Here is a 20,021-nt window from a genome sequence, read left to right as displayed (position 1 = left end):
GAATTTGGAAAGTAGGGTAGTTAACAATATTCAATTTATTATTTTCCAAATGAATGTCTTCAGTTCATTTCCTGTATCTCTTCAATTAGCATCACAATTTTTAAAATCCACAAAAACAAAATTATACATAGTAATCATTCACGCAAAAAGTTGACTTTAATGGAAGAACTATAGATTCAGTCTACTTTTTAATGATGGAGGACGATTGAAGATTCTCTAAATCTAAATCACTCTCTAAACCTAAATGGTCATTGTAAATAAGCTACAATCACATAATCAGAGAGCACAATGGAAACTCACCTCCAGGTACGCTGTACCAAGCACCACCGTTGGTGGTTCCATCTACAAAGCTGCTGTCATCATCATTCTTGCGACATGGTGGCCGATTGGGGTCAGACATGGCCGGGTTGAAAGAAGAGTATGCCCGGGCCAAGCTTTGGAAAATGGCGTCATCTGGGGAGGAGCTGTATTCGTGAGCACTACCTAGAAAACAAATCCACAAGATTAAAGAAACAGACACAGACCAAGCAGCACAGCATGTTTTCTAAAGAGTGATTCAGTATTGAGTAATTGTATTGTTGATGTATTTTTTTAGCTACATAACTATGGGAAAGAGGTAAAATTTAAATACTAAATAATTACACTTAGTTTTAAGTTACAAAATTTCCATTCCTAATACTACAAAGTAGAAATTGGGTAGAATGTACATTCTACTTATGAGTTGAAAGCTTTGCAGGGAAAGGTAATAAAGTCATAGTAAACTAGGCCTGGGAGAATAGGAGGAAGATTTTTATCATTAAATCTTTAATTTAAAAAATGTACCTATACTAACCTCATACCCACTATGAATCATTCTCATATATACCATTCAATATCTGGTTTTATATTTTTTAAATCTCCTGTATGTATTATAGAAATAAATAACATATTTTGATACACTGTGTTCTTATTCATGCATTATAAATTATGCAGGCCTACAAGTTTCCCAATTATCAACAAACCACAAAGTCTTCAAATTTATTTAACAATGTTATTTCCCCAAAGACGTTCTTCAACACTCAGTTTCCAATATCTAAAATTATCATCCCAACAACCCCATTAAAAAGTGGGCAAAGGACAAGAACAGACTTTTCTCAAAAGAAGACATACAAGCAGTCAAAATAATTGGAAAAATCCTCAACATCACTAATCATCTGAGAAAGGCAAATTAAAACCACAATATCATATTACATGACTTAGAATGGCTATGATTAAAAAGTCAAAAAACAACAGATGTTGTCGTGGATTCCCACCAGTGTTGGTGGAAATGTAAATTAATATAACTTCTATGAGGAACAGTACAGAGATTTCTCAAAGAACTAAAAATAGAACTACCATTCAACCTAGTAATCCCACTACTGAGTATGCATCCAAAGGAAAAGAAATTATTATATAAAGAAGACATGTGCACTCATATGTTTATGGCAGCACTATTCACAAAAGCAGAGTCATGGAATCAACCTAATTGTCCATCAATGGTTGATTAGATAAAGAAAATGTGGTACATATACACTATGCAATACTAAGCAGCCATTAAAAAGAATGAAATCATGTATTTTGCAACGACATGGATGGAGCTAGGAGCCATTATCTGGAGCGAAATAATTCAGAAATCAAATACCACATACTCTCATTTATAAGTGGAAGCTAAACAATGGGTGTACCTGGACATTAAGATGGAAATAATAGACCCTGGGGACTCCAAAAGCGGGGAGGATGGGAGGAGGTGAGGGGTGAAAAATTACCTATTGAGTTCACTCTTTTGGTGATGGGTACCCTAGAAACCCAAACCTCACCATTATGTAATATATCCGTGTAACAAACCTACACAGGTACCCCGAATCTAAAATTAAAAAAAAAAAAACAAACTAATCATCCTGTTTTTACAAAAAGCTAACTCTTCAAAGGCCCCAGAAAATAGATCCAAAGCAGGAAATTCCCTGGAGCAACAAAAAACAATTTGAAAATATCTGTCTGGCTAAAGCTTGCTTTGTCTGAAGCTTAACTAAAACTAGTTAGAGAAAGCCAAAGCACCACTTCCCCTCCCTGACACCACCAGAAACAGTTCCAAATGCAAAACTGTGTCAACACAATAAGACACATGTAGAGATCCACAGGGATCCTGATCAAGCACCAAGAGGCTGCCCCCATGTTTAAGCCATCTTCTACATGAACCTACACAACTTCTGTAATCTCTCCACTTTATCAGTGTCCAAGAGTGACCCAAGTTTATGACGTGTGTTTTCTCCCTTTCTGTTGGCTAGGTACTGTCAAGATCACGTTTCTCTTCACCTAACCTATTGAAAAAGTGAGTCCTTTTCTGCCAAATAGATATGCCAACACCATATGAAATGATTAGGAGAGCTTCCTGTTAAACATAGTTCTTTCTTCAGGCAAAAATCACTTAATGTTCAGTTCCTTAAAAAAAATTACAGAAATCATCTTATAAAACCTTGTACAGTGTTATAAACTTTGAACCAATAAGAGAAGCAGAAAGAATACCTACCACTCCGCGTCTCATCATATGGATAATTGGCCACAAGGTCTCCTCCATGGAGATTGGCAGAAAGCACAAAAGGAATATCCATAATCCAATGAATGACAGCCTTGGTCTCAGGAGCAAGCTGTTCAGATGAGAGATTAAAAGGATTATAAATTTAATAATCATTGGTATGATCACTTGACAGAAAAGACATAGGAAAGGTAAAGGAAAAAACTGAAAGCTGGTCATATTTCAACTATTTTGCTGTTGTCCTCACAGAAAAAATAAAGGTTCCTACAAAAGCAGTATTCCTCATGTCTAACTTTCTCAGATTTTTAATAAAAAATGTTTCAAAAGTGTTTAAATTTCTTTCAAAGTTTTATTTTTGTGGGCTGCCAGTTATCCTCTCTTTGTAACTTGAAAACCAGCATGCAACTCACAAATTTTGGGACATCGCTGTCTGATCTGTAGTGGTTCACACATTGTTATTATGAATAGTTAAGGATAATATGAGGAGAAAAGAAAATAATTGAACTGCAGAACAAGATTTGTCCTCTGTGGTGGTTCAAACATGTGGTAAAGTTTATTTCCAAATTTTGCTTACTATTTTCCCAACTTCCCTCAATTACTTCAAACATTGTTCCTATCAAAGAATATTAGGTTGAGTCTCTTTCAGAGTGGACTGTAAAATATGTTTACTTTGGAATGGTCATCTTAAATTTTAAAATAAAGGCAAGTTTCAAGAATTCATGTTAAGTCTTTAGAATGATTCACTGCCCCTCATATCTTGGAAGCAAAACAAAGGAAAAAAGAAATGTATACCAAAGAAATAATGTGGAGCCAAAAGCTTGATACTTTTATGCAATGAGTTTTTAATAGCAACTAGGAAGACTCTCAAACCCCAAGTGCTTCTCTGATGAAAAGAAAAGATTTTACTGGCAACGTGATCCATGCTGTTCTTTAGGACAGAAAATCTAATGGCATCAGTAGGGTTTGATGGTTATAAGATCTCATATTTGTATAGCTCTGCTCTGTTTATGAATAGTTCTGACATGAACTATTTTACTGCACTTCAACATTCGTATTGGATATGCAAAGATATTCATACCCATTTCACAAGGAGGAATCTGAAAGTTGGGTGTGTTAAATAGCATATCTAAGTTCACACAGCTAAGAGTTCACATCCAGTCAGTGAAACCCTAAGGCTCACGCTGTTTCTAGTGTATCAGCTTTAGTCTATTAAAATTATCCTATTTTCACATAAGCTACTGTTAACTGTGGAAAAGTGTGATTTAGAGTAGGAGGTTGTTTTTATTATTTTTCATTTGGTTGGTAGATCTTATTTTTGCTAAAAAAAAAAAAAAAAATATATATATATATATATATATCCATTGTAGAAAATGTAGAGACAGACAAGAACAAAGAAGAAAATTAAAATTACCCATAATTTTACCACCTAAAGATATCCACTACTAACATTTGTATATATCTCTTTTTCAGTCTTTTCCCAATGTATTTATATAATTTTTAAATGTGATCATTTATATGCCATTTTATATACTGCTTTTTTTGCTTGAAAACAGATAATGAACACCTTTTCATGTTATTAAATACCCTTCTAAAATGATATTTTAATGGCTGAGTGGCAGCCAATGTCTGGATATACCATTCTTAAATACTAATAAAATGATAGCTAATACTTATTAAACACTTTCTGTGTCAGACATTCAATTCTCCCATTTACTCTATGAAATAGGGACTACATTTTCCCCCACCCTACAGATGAGTAAACTGAGATGTAGAGAAGTTAGGGAACAGCATGAGGCCACTCAGCTGGTACTGGCAGAGGCTGGTCTCAAGCCCAGCCAGGCCGGCTACACAGCCACTACACTAGTACTAGTAATCTCCAAGAGGTGATACTGGGATGTTTATATTTTAAAAATTAAAAATACTATGAACACCTTTGTAGCTACCATTTGTCCAAATCTGTACTTTCCTTAGAGAAATCCCTAGAAATTGAATGACTTGACCAAAAGCTAAGCACGTTTTTAGCTAAAAATGTTTTAAGTTAAAATCTATATTAGCTAAAACTGTTTACATTTAAAAATGTATTCCAAACTGCATTCCTGTAAGGTACAGAAATATAACCAGCAACAGTATAATAAACCTTCCATCTCTAATCTTTTTAAGAACAATGGAATTATTATGTGTTTTAAAGTGTGTCACTTTGATTAATGACAATAGAATTTTTAAAGTTTGCATTATTTTAATTAACTAATAAAACTAGAAGTTTTTTATATTTAGAGATTATTTCTATTTATTCTTCTGTGACATATTTATATGGTTTAACTAATTTTTCTATTGAAATGCATAGCTTTTTTTTTTTTTTTTTGAGGCGGAGTCTCACTCTGTCACCCAGGCTAGAGTGCAGTGGAGCGATCTTGGTTCACTGCAAGCTCCGCCTCCCGGGTTCACGCCATTCTCCTGCCTCCGCCTCCCGCGTAGCTGGGACTACAGGTGCCTGCCACCACACCTGGCTAATTTTTTTGTATTTTTAGTAGAGACGAGTTTTCACTGTGTTAGCCAGGATGGTCTCGATCTCCTGACCTCGTGATCCGCCCGCCTCGGCCTCCCAAAGTGCTGGGAGAAATGCATAGCTTTTCTTTTTGACTTGCAAGAGTTGTTTAGTAAAAAAAATTAGCTCTGACCTACACACTATAAATATTTTCTAAGTGTGTCATGTGCCTTTCAAATTTTGTAATTAAAATACAGAGCATTAAGATATTTATGTTAAGTACATAACATCAAACCTATTGATCTTTTCTTTATGGTCTCTTTGCTTTTCCATTTCATTCATTCGTTCAATAAGTATTAAGTGACCACTATGTGCTAGTGTCTATACAAGAAATTTAGAAAGTTCTATCCCCCTCTAAGTATTACATCCTTACGAAAGTTTTCTAGTTTCATACTTTTTAAACTTAAATTGTAGTGTCTAGAATTTATTTTGATCTATGCTGTTATTTATGAGATGGATTTGTCTCAATTCCATGTATTCAATAATGCATTCTTTCCACAGGGATCTGAAATACACTCTTATTATATTTTGATTTAAATCAACCTAAAAATAACTAATATGGGAGATGAAATCAAAATACTCTATAATGCATATGCTTTTTTAAGTGAATTTATGTTTTTTATATCCAATTGCTAACATGACATGAATATTATATGAGATGAGTTTAACACACTCTTCTATAATATTCTATTCAAAAGTTTTTCTTTTACTATTGAATTTATTTTCAGTCCTCCTCTTCTTTGTACATCTCTCATTCCCTCTATTTTCTTTAACCCAATGGCAGATATTGACAAATATTCACATTTCAATAAGTTCAGAAGAGGCAAAATCACCATGGTTTGGAGAATCATTGAGGACTTCAGGAAGGAGGTGGAACTTCACCAAGTCCAGGGACGAATTGGGGTAGGAGAAGAAAAGAGAAAAGAGTAGTAAAAATAAAGAAGTTGGAAGTACCCATGGCCCATCTGTCGGGGGTAAGGAAAATACTCTCTGAGAGGGAGGGTTGGTTTTAGTGGGAGTTAGGAGGCAAAGCCATGCCAAGGCAGACTGTATTCCTGTGTTTGTTATCCACCTAAAAGTGTTCAGAATGGCTTGCACAGTATGCACCATATATTTACAGGTTGATACAGCCATAAAAAATAATTTTGAAAGGTACGTATCAAAATGTTAATGGTGTTCACTGAAGATTGTAGGGTAATGGATTCTTCTTTCTCCTTATTTGCATGTTTTAATTTTTGTAATAAAATATGAATTTTGCAATAAAAAACTTTTAAAAGAAACTGTTCTTGAAACAAATTGAAAGATACAGCCCTAAATACACAAAGTTGTGTGAAGCTATCAGGTTTAGCCTATTACTAGTTCTTACATCATACACAATTGCTTATATGCATGTTACCAGTATGTTCAAAAGCAAGCAAATTCTACAATTTGATAAATTAAACTAAATTTCCCTTTGACTATTAACAGAATCTTTTAGTCTGACTAAATCCTGAGACCCCTGTGTACTATAATTATATATTTAACTGATCCACAGAGAAGACTTTGGAGTACCTTTAAAATTGAGCCTTTAATAGAAACTAGAAACAATTGTGGCCTTTCTTTAAACTTTCCATTTAAAGATTATAAATACAGCTCAAATATGATGTTCTATAATTAGATGTCTTTGGTTCTTAAATTATGTTGAAGCTCTATTTATTCAGTTTTCTTCACAACTCTAGCTATTAAAGTCAGGGTAAACTTAATAAATGGCTGGGTATATTTTAATTGACTCTGCTTTCAGGCCAAGGCTCATGTACTGAGCCCAGATAACAGTGGAGGTGACCAGGCTGAAGAGCTCAAGAGCCGATGACAAACGACTTAGAGAAGGAAGTCTGGGAGAGCAAGAGAGAGCTTTTTATTCAGAGAAGTTCAGAAGAACAAGGAGAGCATGGATCTCGAGCGAGTGGATGTGTCTCAGCTACCTCCAGCATCTGGAGGGCTTTGCAAGAATGAACTTCCTTCCCACCACCCCCTCCTGAAGCACACACACCCCAGGCCTGGATCAGCTTATGTGGGAATATGAATTTCTTTTTTTTTTTTCTCACAGCTATACAAAGGAGGAGGAATCTGCATTTCTATTTTCTATTAATCTGATTTGATTCCCTGTTCCACCAAACAGAAGAATAAATCTTGACATTTAAGAACCTCTATAAGGGATACAAATACAGATATTAGGCTGAGAAGGGGAAGAGGGAAGAGGAATGTATAATAACATTAATGAACTGCCTACTATATATTTTGTACCAAGCTGGGTCAAAACACTGTCTCACACTTACAGACAAAAATGGAAAAAGGTGATGAACCAGACATAGGCAATATCACCCCATGATTATGAAGTAAGTTTACTAAAGATTTAGTGTAAAGTAAACAAATCTTGCTTATGTTCCAAAAAGGGACTAATCTTTCATTTTCATGTATTTTTCTTTAATTTACCTTTATGAAAAGAAGTCACACTGAGTTTGTTTTAAACAAAAGCTCTTATTAAAAAATAGTACCATGAACATGCCTCTTTTAAATAAGTATTGCCTAAGCTAGAAATACAAAAACATCTAATCTAGAGATTATGCAAATATTCAGGTTCAGCTGGAGAAGAAGGTAGTGCTGGCTAGAAATAATGGTGCTTGCACAAAGTTGACAATCAAATATCCTGTCAACCTGAGTTGATTTCACCATTCTTCTATGATAGGTGGAAGGAATTATTTTCTTCATTTCTCAGATTTAACAAAGACAGCACAAGCAAGTCAATGCAAGCAATGGGGAAAGCTTGTAGGCTAATATGGGGACTCCGCTTCCAGAAGTTTTCCATTTCTGTCTCAGCCCTCGTGGTTTACCACACAGGACTGCCCTCTTTCACCTGGGGTTACCCCAGCCTGCCGCCTTTCTGGCTCCCCCTCTCCCATGAAAGATAATTTTCAGGCTGAGACAGTGACGTGTATCCATGACTCAGAAGCAGGAAAGCTTAAGTCACTCACTTATCAGGTTCTGCCAGTGTCCTCAGCCTTTGGTAGCCTTTGTCTCAGACTGTTGCAGTAGGTAGCTAGTCAGACATGAGCAGGGCAGGAGAGGGCCTTCTCCCAACACCAGGAATGTCAGGCAAACATTAGGTGATGGGCGGGAGGTTGTTAAACTGCCTCTCTAAAATAATAATTGGTTGCAGCAGGCGCCAGCGAAAGGCAGTCTCCCAATAGATTAAAAAACCTGAAACTGGTGATCAGCAGCTTCCCAATAAGATCTCAGGAGCTGGGCAAATGGGTTCATACATGCGCACCGAGAGGCAAAATGGCAGAGTTTAACTGGTATATGACCTTCCTCTAGGAACACTGGACTGGTAAGGGACGAACGCCTCAAGTGAGCATGTGCGCAGCTTCAGTAAACACACTGTGCAAGCGCCCCTCCCAAGTGTTGCCAGGCCACTGCACATGCAGACAGCCCACCCCAAGGGAAGAATCAGGGGAAAAGGGACACAACCCCCCAGAAGCATAAGCATACCAACCTATAAAGCCCCAAGTCAAAAGGTCAAACAGGGCACTTGATCTCTCAAGTTGCCCGCTTGGCCTACTTCCAAGTGTACTTTACTTCCTTTTATTCCTGCTCTAAAGCTTTTTAATACACTTTCACTGCTACTCTAAAACCTGCCTCAGTCTCTCGCTCTGCCTTATGTTTCTCAATTTAATTCTTTCTTCTGAGGAAGCAAGAATTGAGGTTGCTGCAAACCCATATGGATTCATCACTGGTAACATACCTTTGTGCCACATGACTTGGATATGTTTCCCAGTGGTAAAGGACCTCTATGCCTCACCTTCTTTGGCTGGAGGTACTCAACCCCTGTATGCAGTTTCCTTCTCTCTTTTTGCTCTCCTGCTTACTGACCAACCACTAGAACAATTCTTCTCAGCCACAATGGCTCTGCTCCCGCTAGCTGATCTTTCAGTTCACTCTAATGGGTGGCTCGGAGGGGTGGAAGGAACTCGGAGTTCACACCGAGTAGAACTCAGACACTAATGGCCCTCCTGGACAGGAGGCTTACAAGAGTGGTAGAACTAAAGCCTAACACTGCAATGTCTGGGGTTTCCTCTGCTTTTTCAACTAAAGTTGGCTATTTCCCCAAAACCACTGCCTATTCTCCTTTTTACTCCACCTATTCACCTCCTATTCTCCTTCGTGTTCTCAAATGGCCTTGTACACCAGCTAGACCATCCGCCTCAGGGGCAAGCCTGCCTCTTGTTTGCTTTCACGTCACATGCCATGTAACTTCTTAAACACACACTCCTTGTTATTTGTGTGCCCATGGCTCTTGCTGCATTTGTGCAGCAGCAAAGACATAGGCTCCCTTGCAAATATCCCCTGAGGTTTATACTTGTTTTTACCCTACCAGCTCAGATGACCTCCAACTCATCCCCTGTCTGGTGGCGCATTGCCAGGATAGATACAAATTGGAATCCCAGCCCTTATGATTTATTGTATACTTTTTGTCCCTGTTACCCTCCAGGGCTGTTTTCCAGTGACTTTTTAAGTACTTTGTGTGTCTGCATAGGTCCTCACTGTGGCCCTTTAAGGATCTCACTTATTTGCTTTTTTTGAGTTAACACTCCTTTGAAAGGAGGGAAAATTCTTCCTTTGCCACTTGTGAGTTCTTACCTCAAGCCTCAAGTCCTCCGGAGGTTACTACTTTATGTTAAGAGGGCAAATAAATGTTGCCGTTTCACTCGCATATGAAAGCTTTCCATGAGTATTTATCTCACTTCCTCCCATAGCCTCCATTTCTCTAATCACTTCCATGCCCTTCTTAACATGCACCAAGACCTTCAAGGTCATATTCGAAGGGAGGGAAATCCAGCCATCTTGTGGCAGTTAGCTGAAAAACAGGCTTCTCATCTACTTAAAGAACATGGGAAGGAAATCTGAAAAAAGAGACAATCATTTTGTTGCTACAATGCTCTGAGTGAGAGTCACCATAATGTCATGGAGACAAGGACATAGGCCAGCCCAAGGTTGCAGTCACAAAAGACCCATATGACAGACATGAAGGTTGGTTCTAGGTTAACAGATTACCATTAAAACAGATGAAGGAAAGGTTAGGGGTATACAGTAAGAACGGTTATTCCAGAGTCCCAAGGATGAACAAGGGTCCCACTGTTTACTCTAGTATCTCTTCTGTTCTCAAGTGGGTAATTGTGATGAGATGGAACCAAGGTAATGGGTACACGGTAAGACTGGTTCATTCCAGAACCCTAAGGATGAATGGGAGATGCTTATCTAGGATAACAGGAAAGTAAGAGGGGATGCCTTTGTTTTCCTTTTTCCTTTTTTTTCTCCTCTGTTCCCTCTTTACAGATGGGTAACCATGTCTCTATACCACAGGATATACTCCTCAGATGCATCCCCAAAAACAGAAACATTTGACTCCCCCAAAGCTTAAAACAAAACAAAACTAGCTTTCCTTTGTAATATCGTTTGGCCTAAAAATGAACTGGGAGAAAATACAAAAGTCAGCCTTGGAACCCATTGCCCTTATGCAGGAAACCCTCAAATCAGCCTCCTCAGTCTTTTATAACTGAGAGCATAATAAGGAGGATAGAGATAAGGAGAAGGAAAAATGCAGAAACAAGAGGAATGCTCAATTATTGGCTGCTTTATAAGCTCTCCAGCCCCCATCCAGGTTTCCCTAAAAACACTCCTTCAGGTAACTGCCATTGGTGTGGGAAGCCAGGCCACTGGAAGGCAAACTGCCCCAATGGGACAAATGAGAGGAAGCCTAGCACAGCTTGCCCCCTCTGCCACAAGCTTAGCTACTGGAAATTGGATGCCCTGAGGGCCAAAGGGCTCTGGGACAGAGTCCCAATGCCTAATGGCCTTGAGCTGAAGGGGCTCTCTGCTCTGGCTGGCTTCCAAGTCATTGACAAGACAAAGCTAAGAGAAACTCCTGGAGGAGTAAAATTATAAATTTCCCTTTGGGATTTAAGAGCTGCCTACTCTGTGCTAATCTCCTTCTCTGAACTCTCCTCCAAATTCTGCCACATAATGGGGCAAATGGCACCTCCTCCTTCCAAAAGAAAAGATTCACACTCTTTTGGGCAAAAATATGCTTTCCAAGATGGGTGCCTGATTAATATTTACCCAGTCTCTAAATTCATCTTTCCCTCTAATAGCTCTATTTCTTCTGGAAAGTTACCTAAATGTTTAACTAATAACTTCAACCTAGTCAGTCCTACCTCAAGGATACAGAAATAGCCCACATTTATTCAGACAAGCCCCAGCAAAAATCTAACTGAGCAATCTCTTGAGGGGGGATAACTTCTGCAGTATGCAGATAACCTCATTCTTCTCTGCTCCCCCTTCACAATCCTCACACAGCAACATGCAGTACAAACCTTAACTTCCTAACAGAAAGAAAATGACTTTAATATAATTCAAAAGCTATAAAGAGAAAGAGGAGGTATTTTTGGTAAGGCAGATTATAAAGAACAGAAGTTTTATATGAGAAAGGATCTTGTATGGTAAATTCTTGTCCTAAATTAAATGACTGGTTGTTTAAAAAGAGGAATGTTTGGGACAAATCAGAAAGTCCAAGCATGTCATAGATGGTCTGTGTAAGTTGTGAAAAGATCTGTGAAAGAGAATTTATTTTTAAAAAGTTATACAGTTTTAAAAGTTATTAGGCTTACTAAATGCTTCATAAACTGCTACTTTGACTCCTAACTGTACAACTTGCTGCCTTTAAAGCTACGTGAGGCCCGGGGACATACAGAGTTACCCATGCCCCCTAGATGCTAGAAAGAGTCAAACCTTTTCTGCATTTCTGTCTAGTGTCCTAAGCTGCAAACCTAGTACATAGTCAGAATCACTTACTTAGCAGGTTTTTCACCAAAAGTAAAAGTTGCTAAGAGTTAACAGTGTAACATGTTCTTGAGACTACTGGAAAACTTTTATATGCAAGGCATGTAAGGAAAGTAGAATGTGGTTTTAGTAAAAGATTATATAAAAAGGCATAAAAATGTGGATTTTTTTGACCTAGTTTAGAGAGTTAAAGGATTTTTTAAAGTTAGATAGGATAAAGCTGAAGGTTTGAGCAAGTTGTGGAAGGTTTGTGAAAGATCAATCTGATAAAAAAAATTCTATGCCTAATCATATTGGCTAAAGTTAAAGAACTATTGTTCAGTTTTTCCACAAATTGAAAAGCACAACAGACTTTTAGTAAAGCATTGATCTACTCTTCATAAATGTGTTATTTGTATGTGTTCCAAAATTATACAAAGCTCCTATAATTCTGATATAACTTAGTATACATTGTCAGTAATAATTATAACTGTTATGCTACATAATTGTGTGCCACAGAAATAACAAATTTTCTTGGCAACTGTGTCTTTGACTGTGGCTGCCCTAAGACTTTTTCTCATTCACAATTGTTGTCTTGTTTTAATCCTCTTTAAAAGGTGGCCTTTATAATCAGCTATAGGACTCTGGCAGGCACTCTTGAATGCAGGTTGCTGATAACTTTAAAGATTGTAACATTAGAATAGAGAAAGAACTTTCAGGACTCTCATGGAGAGCTGAAATGTTCACAAATACCAGGCAGAACAGGAGTTAACTGCATGGACTGAACTAAAAGAAGACTAAAATAATCCTTTTATGACTTTTTGCTTAAAACATTGCTGATCCTTTGTTTTTCAAAGTCAAGAAAACTTTCTTTTGAGCTATTTACAGCTTTTAAAAATAAGTACTCCTGTAAACAAAATTTGGAGCATATTTCTCTCTACCTGATTTCTCCAGAATTTGGAAACTATTTGTGGGTATTCTTAACTAATGGCAATACAGTTATTTGCATAAGTGCAATAGTAATCTGTTTTCTTTTGCAACAAGGCACAATTGGAGAAACTGGTTATTTTACCAAGGGTTTGACTGGAATGGCATGCTCTCCTTTAAGGAATCAAATTTGACTTATAGAGCCAATAAAAACCCCTTGGGAAAACTGGTCTCATACCTTGTCTACACAGTCCCTGTACAGGGTTCCTGATCCATGGGGAGTAAAGAATGTCACTTTCTGACAGGCCTAGGAGCCCCAGGTTATTTAGGACCTCAAGAGGAGAGGAATTTACCCAATTCATACAGGTATTTGATGGCAGAAACCCATGGCTGGGCTCAAGGCATTTAAAACGTCTTATCTGAAATACCTTATGGAATGAAGTTTCATCAAAGCCAATTTAAAAAGGAGCCTATATGGCAAATAATTATTCTTGCTGTGCTTTATGCAAATAACCAGGCCAAGTATGATAGGACTAATGCTTATTTTGCAAACAAATCAGTCCTATCATGATTTGTTTTTAATAAAAATGAGGACTGGAGAGAGAAAAGTTATGTTTCAAGAACATAACAGACTATAATCTAATAACTTGGTATTAGATTCTATTCTCAGCAGTTGTTTTTGAGTTTTTGTCTGCAATTTAGACTAACCCTGTTTATTCCTGTGAACCAACCAGTGATCTCTGGCCACAGCTCAGAAGAAACAAGAGGAATGGGTAATGTAAAAATCTGGATCAATATTCTAATTCTGGGAACACATTGGAATTGGCTTGTAACCCCATCCACACAAGTCTTAGCAGGCACGAAAATAGCCACCAGTTACCTGAGTGTGTTGGCAGCGTCAGGATTTTTTGGAGTTGTCCTCACTCCCTTATTTCATTTTGACATTCTTCTAAATCTAATAAACTAATTCGTCTCCTCTTGCCTTCAGGCCATCAAGCTCCAGATGATCCTCAGTGAGAGACACCATCATGTCAGTATTCAAGAGTCACCCTTCTACAGAGGACCCCTAGACTTCCCATCAACAAGACATGACAGAGGCTTAATTCCACCCCTTTCTCCCTCCAGCCTGGCTGGATACTGTTTTTACCAACCCATGGAGCCATCCTACCCTGACAGCTAGCAAGAGGTGAAGACCCACAAAACAACCACCACCACCCCTCTATCAGTAGGAAGCAGTTACAGAAGACTGACCTTTATCCATTTTTCCCAAAGAATTGAGGTCTTGGATTCTTGAGGGGGGAAATGTTATGGTAGGTAGGTAGTCAGACATGAGCAGGACAAGAGAGGGCCCTCCAACCACCAGGAATGTCAGGCAACCATCAGGTGATGGTCAAGCGGTTGTTAAACTGCCTCTGTAACATAATAATTGGTTGCAGCAAGTGCCAGGGAAAGGCAGTCCCTCAACAGACAGAAAAGCCTAAAACTGGTGATCGGCTTCCTGATAAGACGGCAGGAGTTGGGCAAGTGGGCTTAAGCATACTAAGAGGCAAAATGGCACGGATTAACTGGTATGTGACTTAGTAGGAACACTCAACTGGTAAGGGAAGAACAACTCAAGAGAGCATGCATACAACTTCGATAAACACACTGTGAATACAGTGCCTACCAAGTGCTAGGAGGCTACTGTGCATGTGGACAGCCCACCCCAAGGGAAGAATCAGGGGAAAAGACACACAACCTCCTGCTCCCTTGTAAGCATGCCAACATAGAAAACCCCAAGTCAAAGGTCAAACAGTGCACTTGATCTCTCAAGTTGCCTGCTTGGCCCTCTTCCAAGTGTACTTTACCTCCTTTCATTCATGCTCTAAACTTTTTAATAAACTTTCACTCCTGCTCTAAAACTTGCTTTAGTCTCTCACTCTGCCTTATGCCTCTTGGTCGAATTCTTCTGAGGAGGCAAGAATTGAGGTTGCTGAAGACCTGTATGGATTTGCCACCACTAAGAAGACCAGCCCCCACCTGTAGGCTCAGCCCATGTTTCTGCAATGAATCCCATATATAGGCAGGAGAGTTTTTAAAAGTTTAAACCAATAATCTAAGGCTCCCTGTCTCCTGGATCCTTCATCCAGCATCCCAACCCCATGATGAACACTTGTCTGGATTCCTGTCTGCTTACTTGCAGTGGCCCTCTTTTTCAGATATTGTGATTTGTTTGCTGAGCTGGATTGTGTTTATTCATAACAGGCCCTCAGCCTACTGCCTGTCATAATCAAATATTAATCGTAATTCTTACAATCAAGTGATCAAATTCTAGAATCAAAGGGGAAAACAGGTGTATAAACAAATAACATACATAAAGCTGGATGTAACAGTAAGCCCATACTGGAAGTATAGATGAAGAACATGTGAAAAAAGAATCTGTCTTGAAGAGTAGAGGATGACTTCACAGAGGGAGTGGCATGGAAGGAAAGACAAGAGAATTCTAGACAGTTGGAGCAGCAACTCATCTGAAGACATAAAATTGTTAGAAAATGGTATGTTTAGGAGCACAAAAGAGTTGGTATGAGTTGAGTCTATAGGGTATCGAAGCCAGCTTAAGGAATAAACCAGCCGGCAGCTTCCAGGGGCCAAGAGCTGCTGGAATGACCCAGCAACTAGAATGAAATGGAGAAATGGTACTTTGCGAGCTCTCACTTAGGAAAGACACTACATGTAGGGGACATATGAAAGCAGAAATACCCAGAACAATAGAGAAGGAATAGAGGGCTGCTGACAGCAGTTCTTCACCTTTCCTCCAAGATGGGCTCAATTTGTCCTCCAAGTGACTGATGACAATATTGGTTCAAAGATGCACCAAATGTTTAGTGGATATGTAAATGTGTCCACCTAGCCCTGAGCTACATAACAGAGAGTACCAAAAAATTACACTGAAATGGTAATAAAAGTTCCAGGTCCTGGCTTCAAGTACTTTATATGTATTAACTCATTCAATCCTTATCCTATGAGGTAGATATTATCACTTCCATATTACAGATGAAGAACCTGAAGCACAGAGAGGTCAAATAACTTTACAAAGTTCACACAGCAAGTATGAAGCCATGATTTACACCAAGGTGGTTACCTCTAGAGTCTCCATACTTAACCATCACATTAAGTTTTCACTTTATCTTCTGGGCAGTGGAGAGCTGCTAAGGTTTTTTAAGCAAAAGAGCAATAATTTGTGTGTGAGGTCACTCTGGAAGATTGAGAATTTGAGAAGATAGAATAGAGTTGGGAGAGGCTGGACATGAAACACAAGTAGGAGGCCACTGTGCCAGTTACAGCAGGAGACCGTGGGGATCTCAGCTGAGGCAGGGGAATGAGTTTGCAGAAGAAGGGAAATGGAAGAGGTGTCAGAGAGATCAAATCGCTGAGAGGTGGTAACTGGTGAGCGGTGACAGAGATGGAAAAATCAAAAGCTTTGATGATTGGGATAAATGAAAGAATAGTGGTTCTAAGGGAAAATATTTGTTTCTGGACAACCTGAGCTTGAGATATCAAGTTCCACCAGTTAAAGGAACCCAAGTTAGCTAGTAAAACAGAGACATAAATCTCTGTGGAAGGTCTGGAGTTAGAGGCACGGATCTGGGAGACCTTGTGTAACAGACAACACTGAAAGTACAGGTAAGGAGGGAAGCCCAGGGAAGCAAATAACGGTATCAGATGAGACCCTGAAAATGGCCAGCATTTATGCCCAGGTAGAAGAAACAGGGAAAAAAACTGAGTAGTGATTTGAAAGACAGTAGAAGAGGTAGGAGAAAGTAGAGTTTTGTAAAGCAAGGGAGGAGAAAGTTCTGGAAAAGAGAAAAGGAGCAACAGGGTAATATGGCAGGAGGAGCTGATCAAATGAGCTAATAAAGGGTCTCTGAGAAGGCCATGGTGATTTTCTAAGAAACCTACAACTGGGTTCCTCCCTATATCTGCACCTCCAACTCCTCTCCACCTACGGCCCAATTCTAGGGGCCAGGACAAATTTCATGGCACCAGCCCTTCCAGCCTTGACTTAAAGCCACAGTTAACCACCCCATACAAGCTGTGATGTTACTCCTCTGTCCTTCATGATGATGAAGATATTGGAACATATTTCCTTAGGCTAGAGACGAACCCAAGAAGACTATCCCGTGGTCACTACCTTTGTGTTTTGATCCACAATTTTCTTCATATTTTTCAACAGATGATTATTTGGACCACCTTCTTTCTCATTCACGTACACTATCCTATCCAGGTCTGGAAAGTTCCGGTTCAGATCTATTCCCTGGGCATTGCTTCGACCCACAAACCAGTCCTTGAGTTCACCAGGCTAAAAAAAAAAAAGTCAAAGAGAAAAATCATTAGTTGCTTATTATTATGTCACTTTCTATTTAAGGTCCCTATCAATGCTCTTTAAAATAACTATTAAGATTATTTACTTCAACAATGCCCTCCCATGTCAGCATTTTCACTACTTTACTTATATAAACATGAAGGTATCAGATTTAAAGTACTGTGATGGGCCGCATAATGACATTTCTTACCACGACTGACAGACTATACAGCAGTGATCCCATAAGACTATAATGGAGGTGAAAAATTCCTATTGCCTAGTGACATTTTGATGATCCTGACCCTGTGTAGGCCTAGGCCGATATGTGTGTTTGTGTCTTAGTTTCTTTTTCTTTTTTCTAAGAGACAGGGTCTCACTCTGTTGCCCAGGCTTGGGTGCAGTGGCATAATCACAGCTAACTGTAACCTCAAACTCCTGGGTTCAAGTGATCCTCCCTCCTTGGCCTCCCAAAGCACTGGGACTACACATGTGCACAATCATGCTAGGCTAAGTTTTTTATTTTTGGTAAAGACAGGGTCTCGCTATGTTGCTCAGGCTGGTCTCAAACTCCTGGCCTTAAGCAATCTTCTCCTCTGGGCCTCCCAAAGCACTGGGATTATAGATATAAGCTGCTGCACACAGCCTGTGTCTTATATTTAACAAAACATTTGAAAAACTAAGAAACCATTAAAATGCTTTAAAAAAGTTTTAAAAATAGAAAAAAGCTTGTAGAATAAAGATATAAAGACAGAAAAGATTTTTGGACAGCTGTACAATGTGTTGTGTGTTTCAATCTAAGTGTTATTACAAAGAGTCCAAAAGGTTTTTAAAGTTTAAAAGTTTATAAAGTAAAAAAGTTACAGTAAGGTGGCCAGGTGCAGTGGCTCACGCCTGTAATCCCAGCACTTTGAGAGGCCAAGGTGGGTGGATCATGAGGTCAGGAGATCAAGACCATCCTGGCCAACATGATGAAACCCCGTCTCTAATAAAAATATAAAAAATTAGCTGGGCATGATGGCACGTGCCTGTAATCCCAGCTACTTGGGAGGCTGAGGCAGGAAAATAGCTTGAACCAGGGAGTCGGAGTGTGCAGTGAGCCGAGATCATGCCATTGCACTCCATCCTGGTGACAGAGTGAGACTCCATCTCAAAAAAAAAAGAAAGTTACAGTAAGGTAAGTTTAATTTATTACTGCAGGAAGAAAAATAGTTTTTATAAATTTAGTGTAACCTGAGTGTACAGTGTTTATAAATTCTATAGTAGTGTACAGTAATGTCCTAGGCCTTCACATTCACTCACCACTCACTCATTGACTCACCCAGAGCAACTTCTGGCTCCATTCATGGTAAAAGCCCTGTCCAAAGGTACTGTTTTTATCTTTTATGCTGTATTTTCACTGTACCTTTTCTATGTTTAGATACACAAATAGTTACTAGTGTGTTGCAGTTGCCTACAGTATTCAGTACAGTAACATGCTGTACAGACTTGTAGCCTAGGAACCATGGGCTATATCACATAGCCTAGGTGTGTAGTAGGCTACACCATGCAGGTTTATGTAGGTGCACTCTAGAATGTTCACAAAATGACAAAATCACCCAACATTGCATTTCTCAGAATGCTTCCCCATTATTAAGAGATGCATCACTGTACTTGTCATAAGTATTTTGAAAATATGTTCGATGAATAATATTTTAAATGTTAATAATATAAAGAGATATTTATCAAATTTCACAATATATATTCACTAGTTATAAATGACCTATTTCAAAGCATATCATTCTATAATTAGATTTAAGTAAAATATTCATTGCCTCTGTAAATCACAGCAACCTATTTTTTAAATATTTAGAAGAATAACTAAAGATTAGAAGCTTAAAATGAATTTAACATGCGTTATAGACTAATAACATGTCTCCCTCTTATAGTCTTCATGAAAAAATATGAACCTAGAACAAAAGTTCTAGGGCTTTATGATTTGAGGAATTTCTCTCCCGTTTAAACTCTTCATTTAACTAATGGTACAATCTGGAAAACTAATAAATTTTCGGTATATTTGTTTCATTTTATAATGTGAATTTTCTTGTTTTACTGTTAAATTATATCACATGATATAGATATATTTCCCACATATTTTAAGTCATGGAAGTTTAGATACCTTAGACTGTGAGGGATAAAAATCTATAAGACAGAAAACAGCAATGATAATCTGTTGCCCATGTGTCTAAAAATTCTGAATATTACCTTAAAATATTAAATAATTTAATTTTATATATTACTAGAATTTTTCTCTCATAACTTTAGAAATCGTATCAATTTTATATTTATTTACAGAAATTGGCTGGGTTTCTTACAATGTCAAACTATGTCATTGGATTTTTTAGCTGTAGATAAACATGCTAAATATTAACTTGAATGTGTTCCCATGTTCCCATAGACTAAGAAAATTATTTTAAACTGTAGAAAACAGCAAATATAATGTCCCCCGCCCCGTCCAATAAAATAGGAACACACACCATATATCTTCTCTTAAAAAGGCATTACTTTCCAGTTCATCTAACAGCGAAGATATATTAAATTATTTTTAGTTAAGAGGTAGGGTTTTCGCTTGTTTTTTAACTTTACTCAGCGTATGTAAAAACCAAGTAAACATCAGTAAAACATTATTCCGGCCAAAAGTATTTCTTCCTTAAATTCAGTAGAGGGCGCTGTGACACTGGCTCATCCACATACACCCATGGCGTTACTCTTCAACAAAAGGCAGTAGATATTTTTTATATTTGTAGATTTTTAAAACAAAACTT

General features: G+C 38.2%; 1 protein-coding gene across 1 annotated transcript in view; it reads right to left on the bottom strand.

Annotated features, from left to right (window-relative positions):
* Positions 1–20,021, bottom strand: part of CPE (carboxypeptidase E) — a 119,540-nt gene that overhangs the window by 13,643 nt on the left and 85,876 nt on the right. The window contains exons 3-5 of the mRNA NM_001873.4: positions 17,050–17,217; positions 2,546–2,663; positions 301–483 (exon numbers count right to left, since the gene is read on the bottom strand). Coding sequence (NP_001864.1) covers positions 301–483; positions 2,546–2,663; positions 17,050–17,217 — 469 coding nt within the window. The remainder of the gene's footprint in view (positions 1–300; positions 484–2,545; positions 2,664–17,049; positions 17,218–20,021) is intronic.

Source organism: Homo sapiens, chromosome 4 (assembly GCF_000001405.40).
Source record: "Homo sapiens chromosome 4, GRCh38.p14 Primary Assembly".
Classification (NCBI taxonomy): Eukaryota; Metazoa; Chordata; class Mammalia; order Primates; family Hominidae; genus Homo; species Homo sapiens.
Note: the sequence above shows the minus strand (reverse complement) of the source record. Positions and strands in the feature narration are given on the sequence as shown.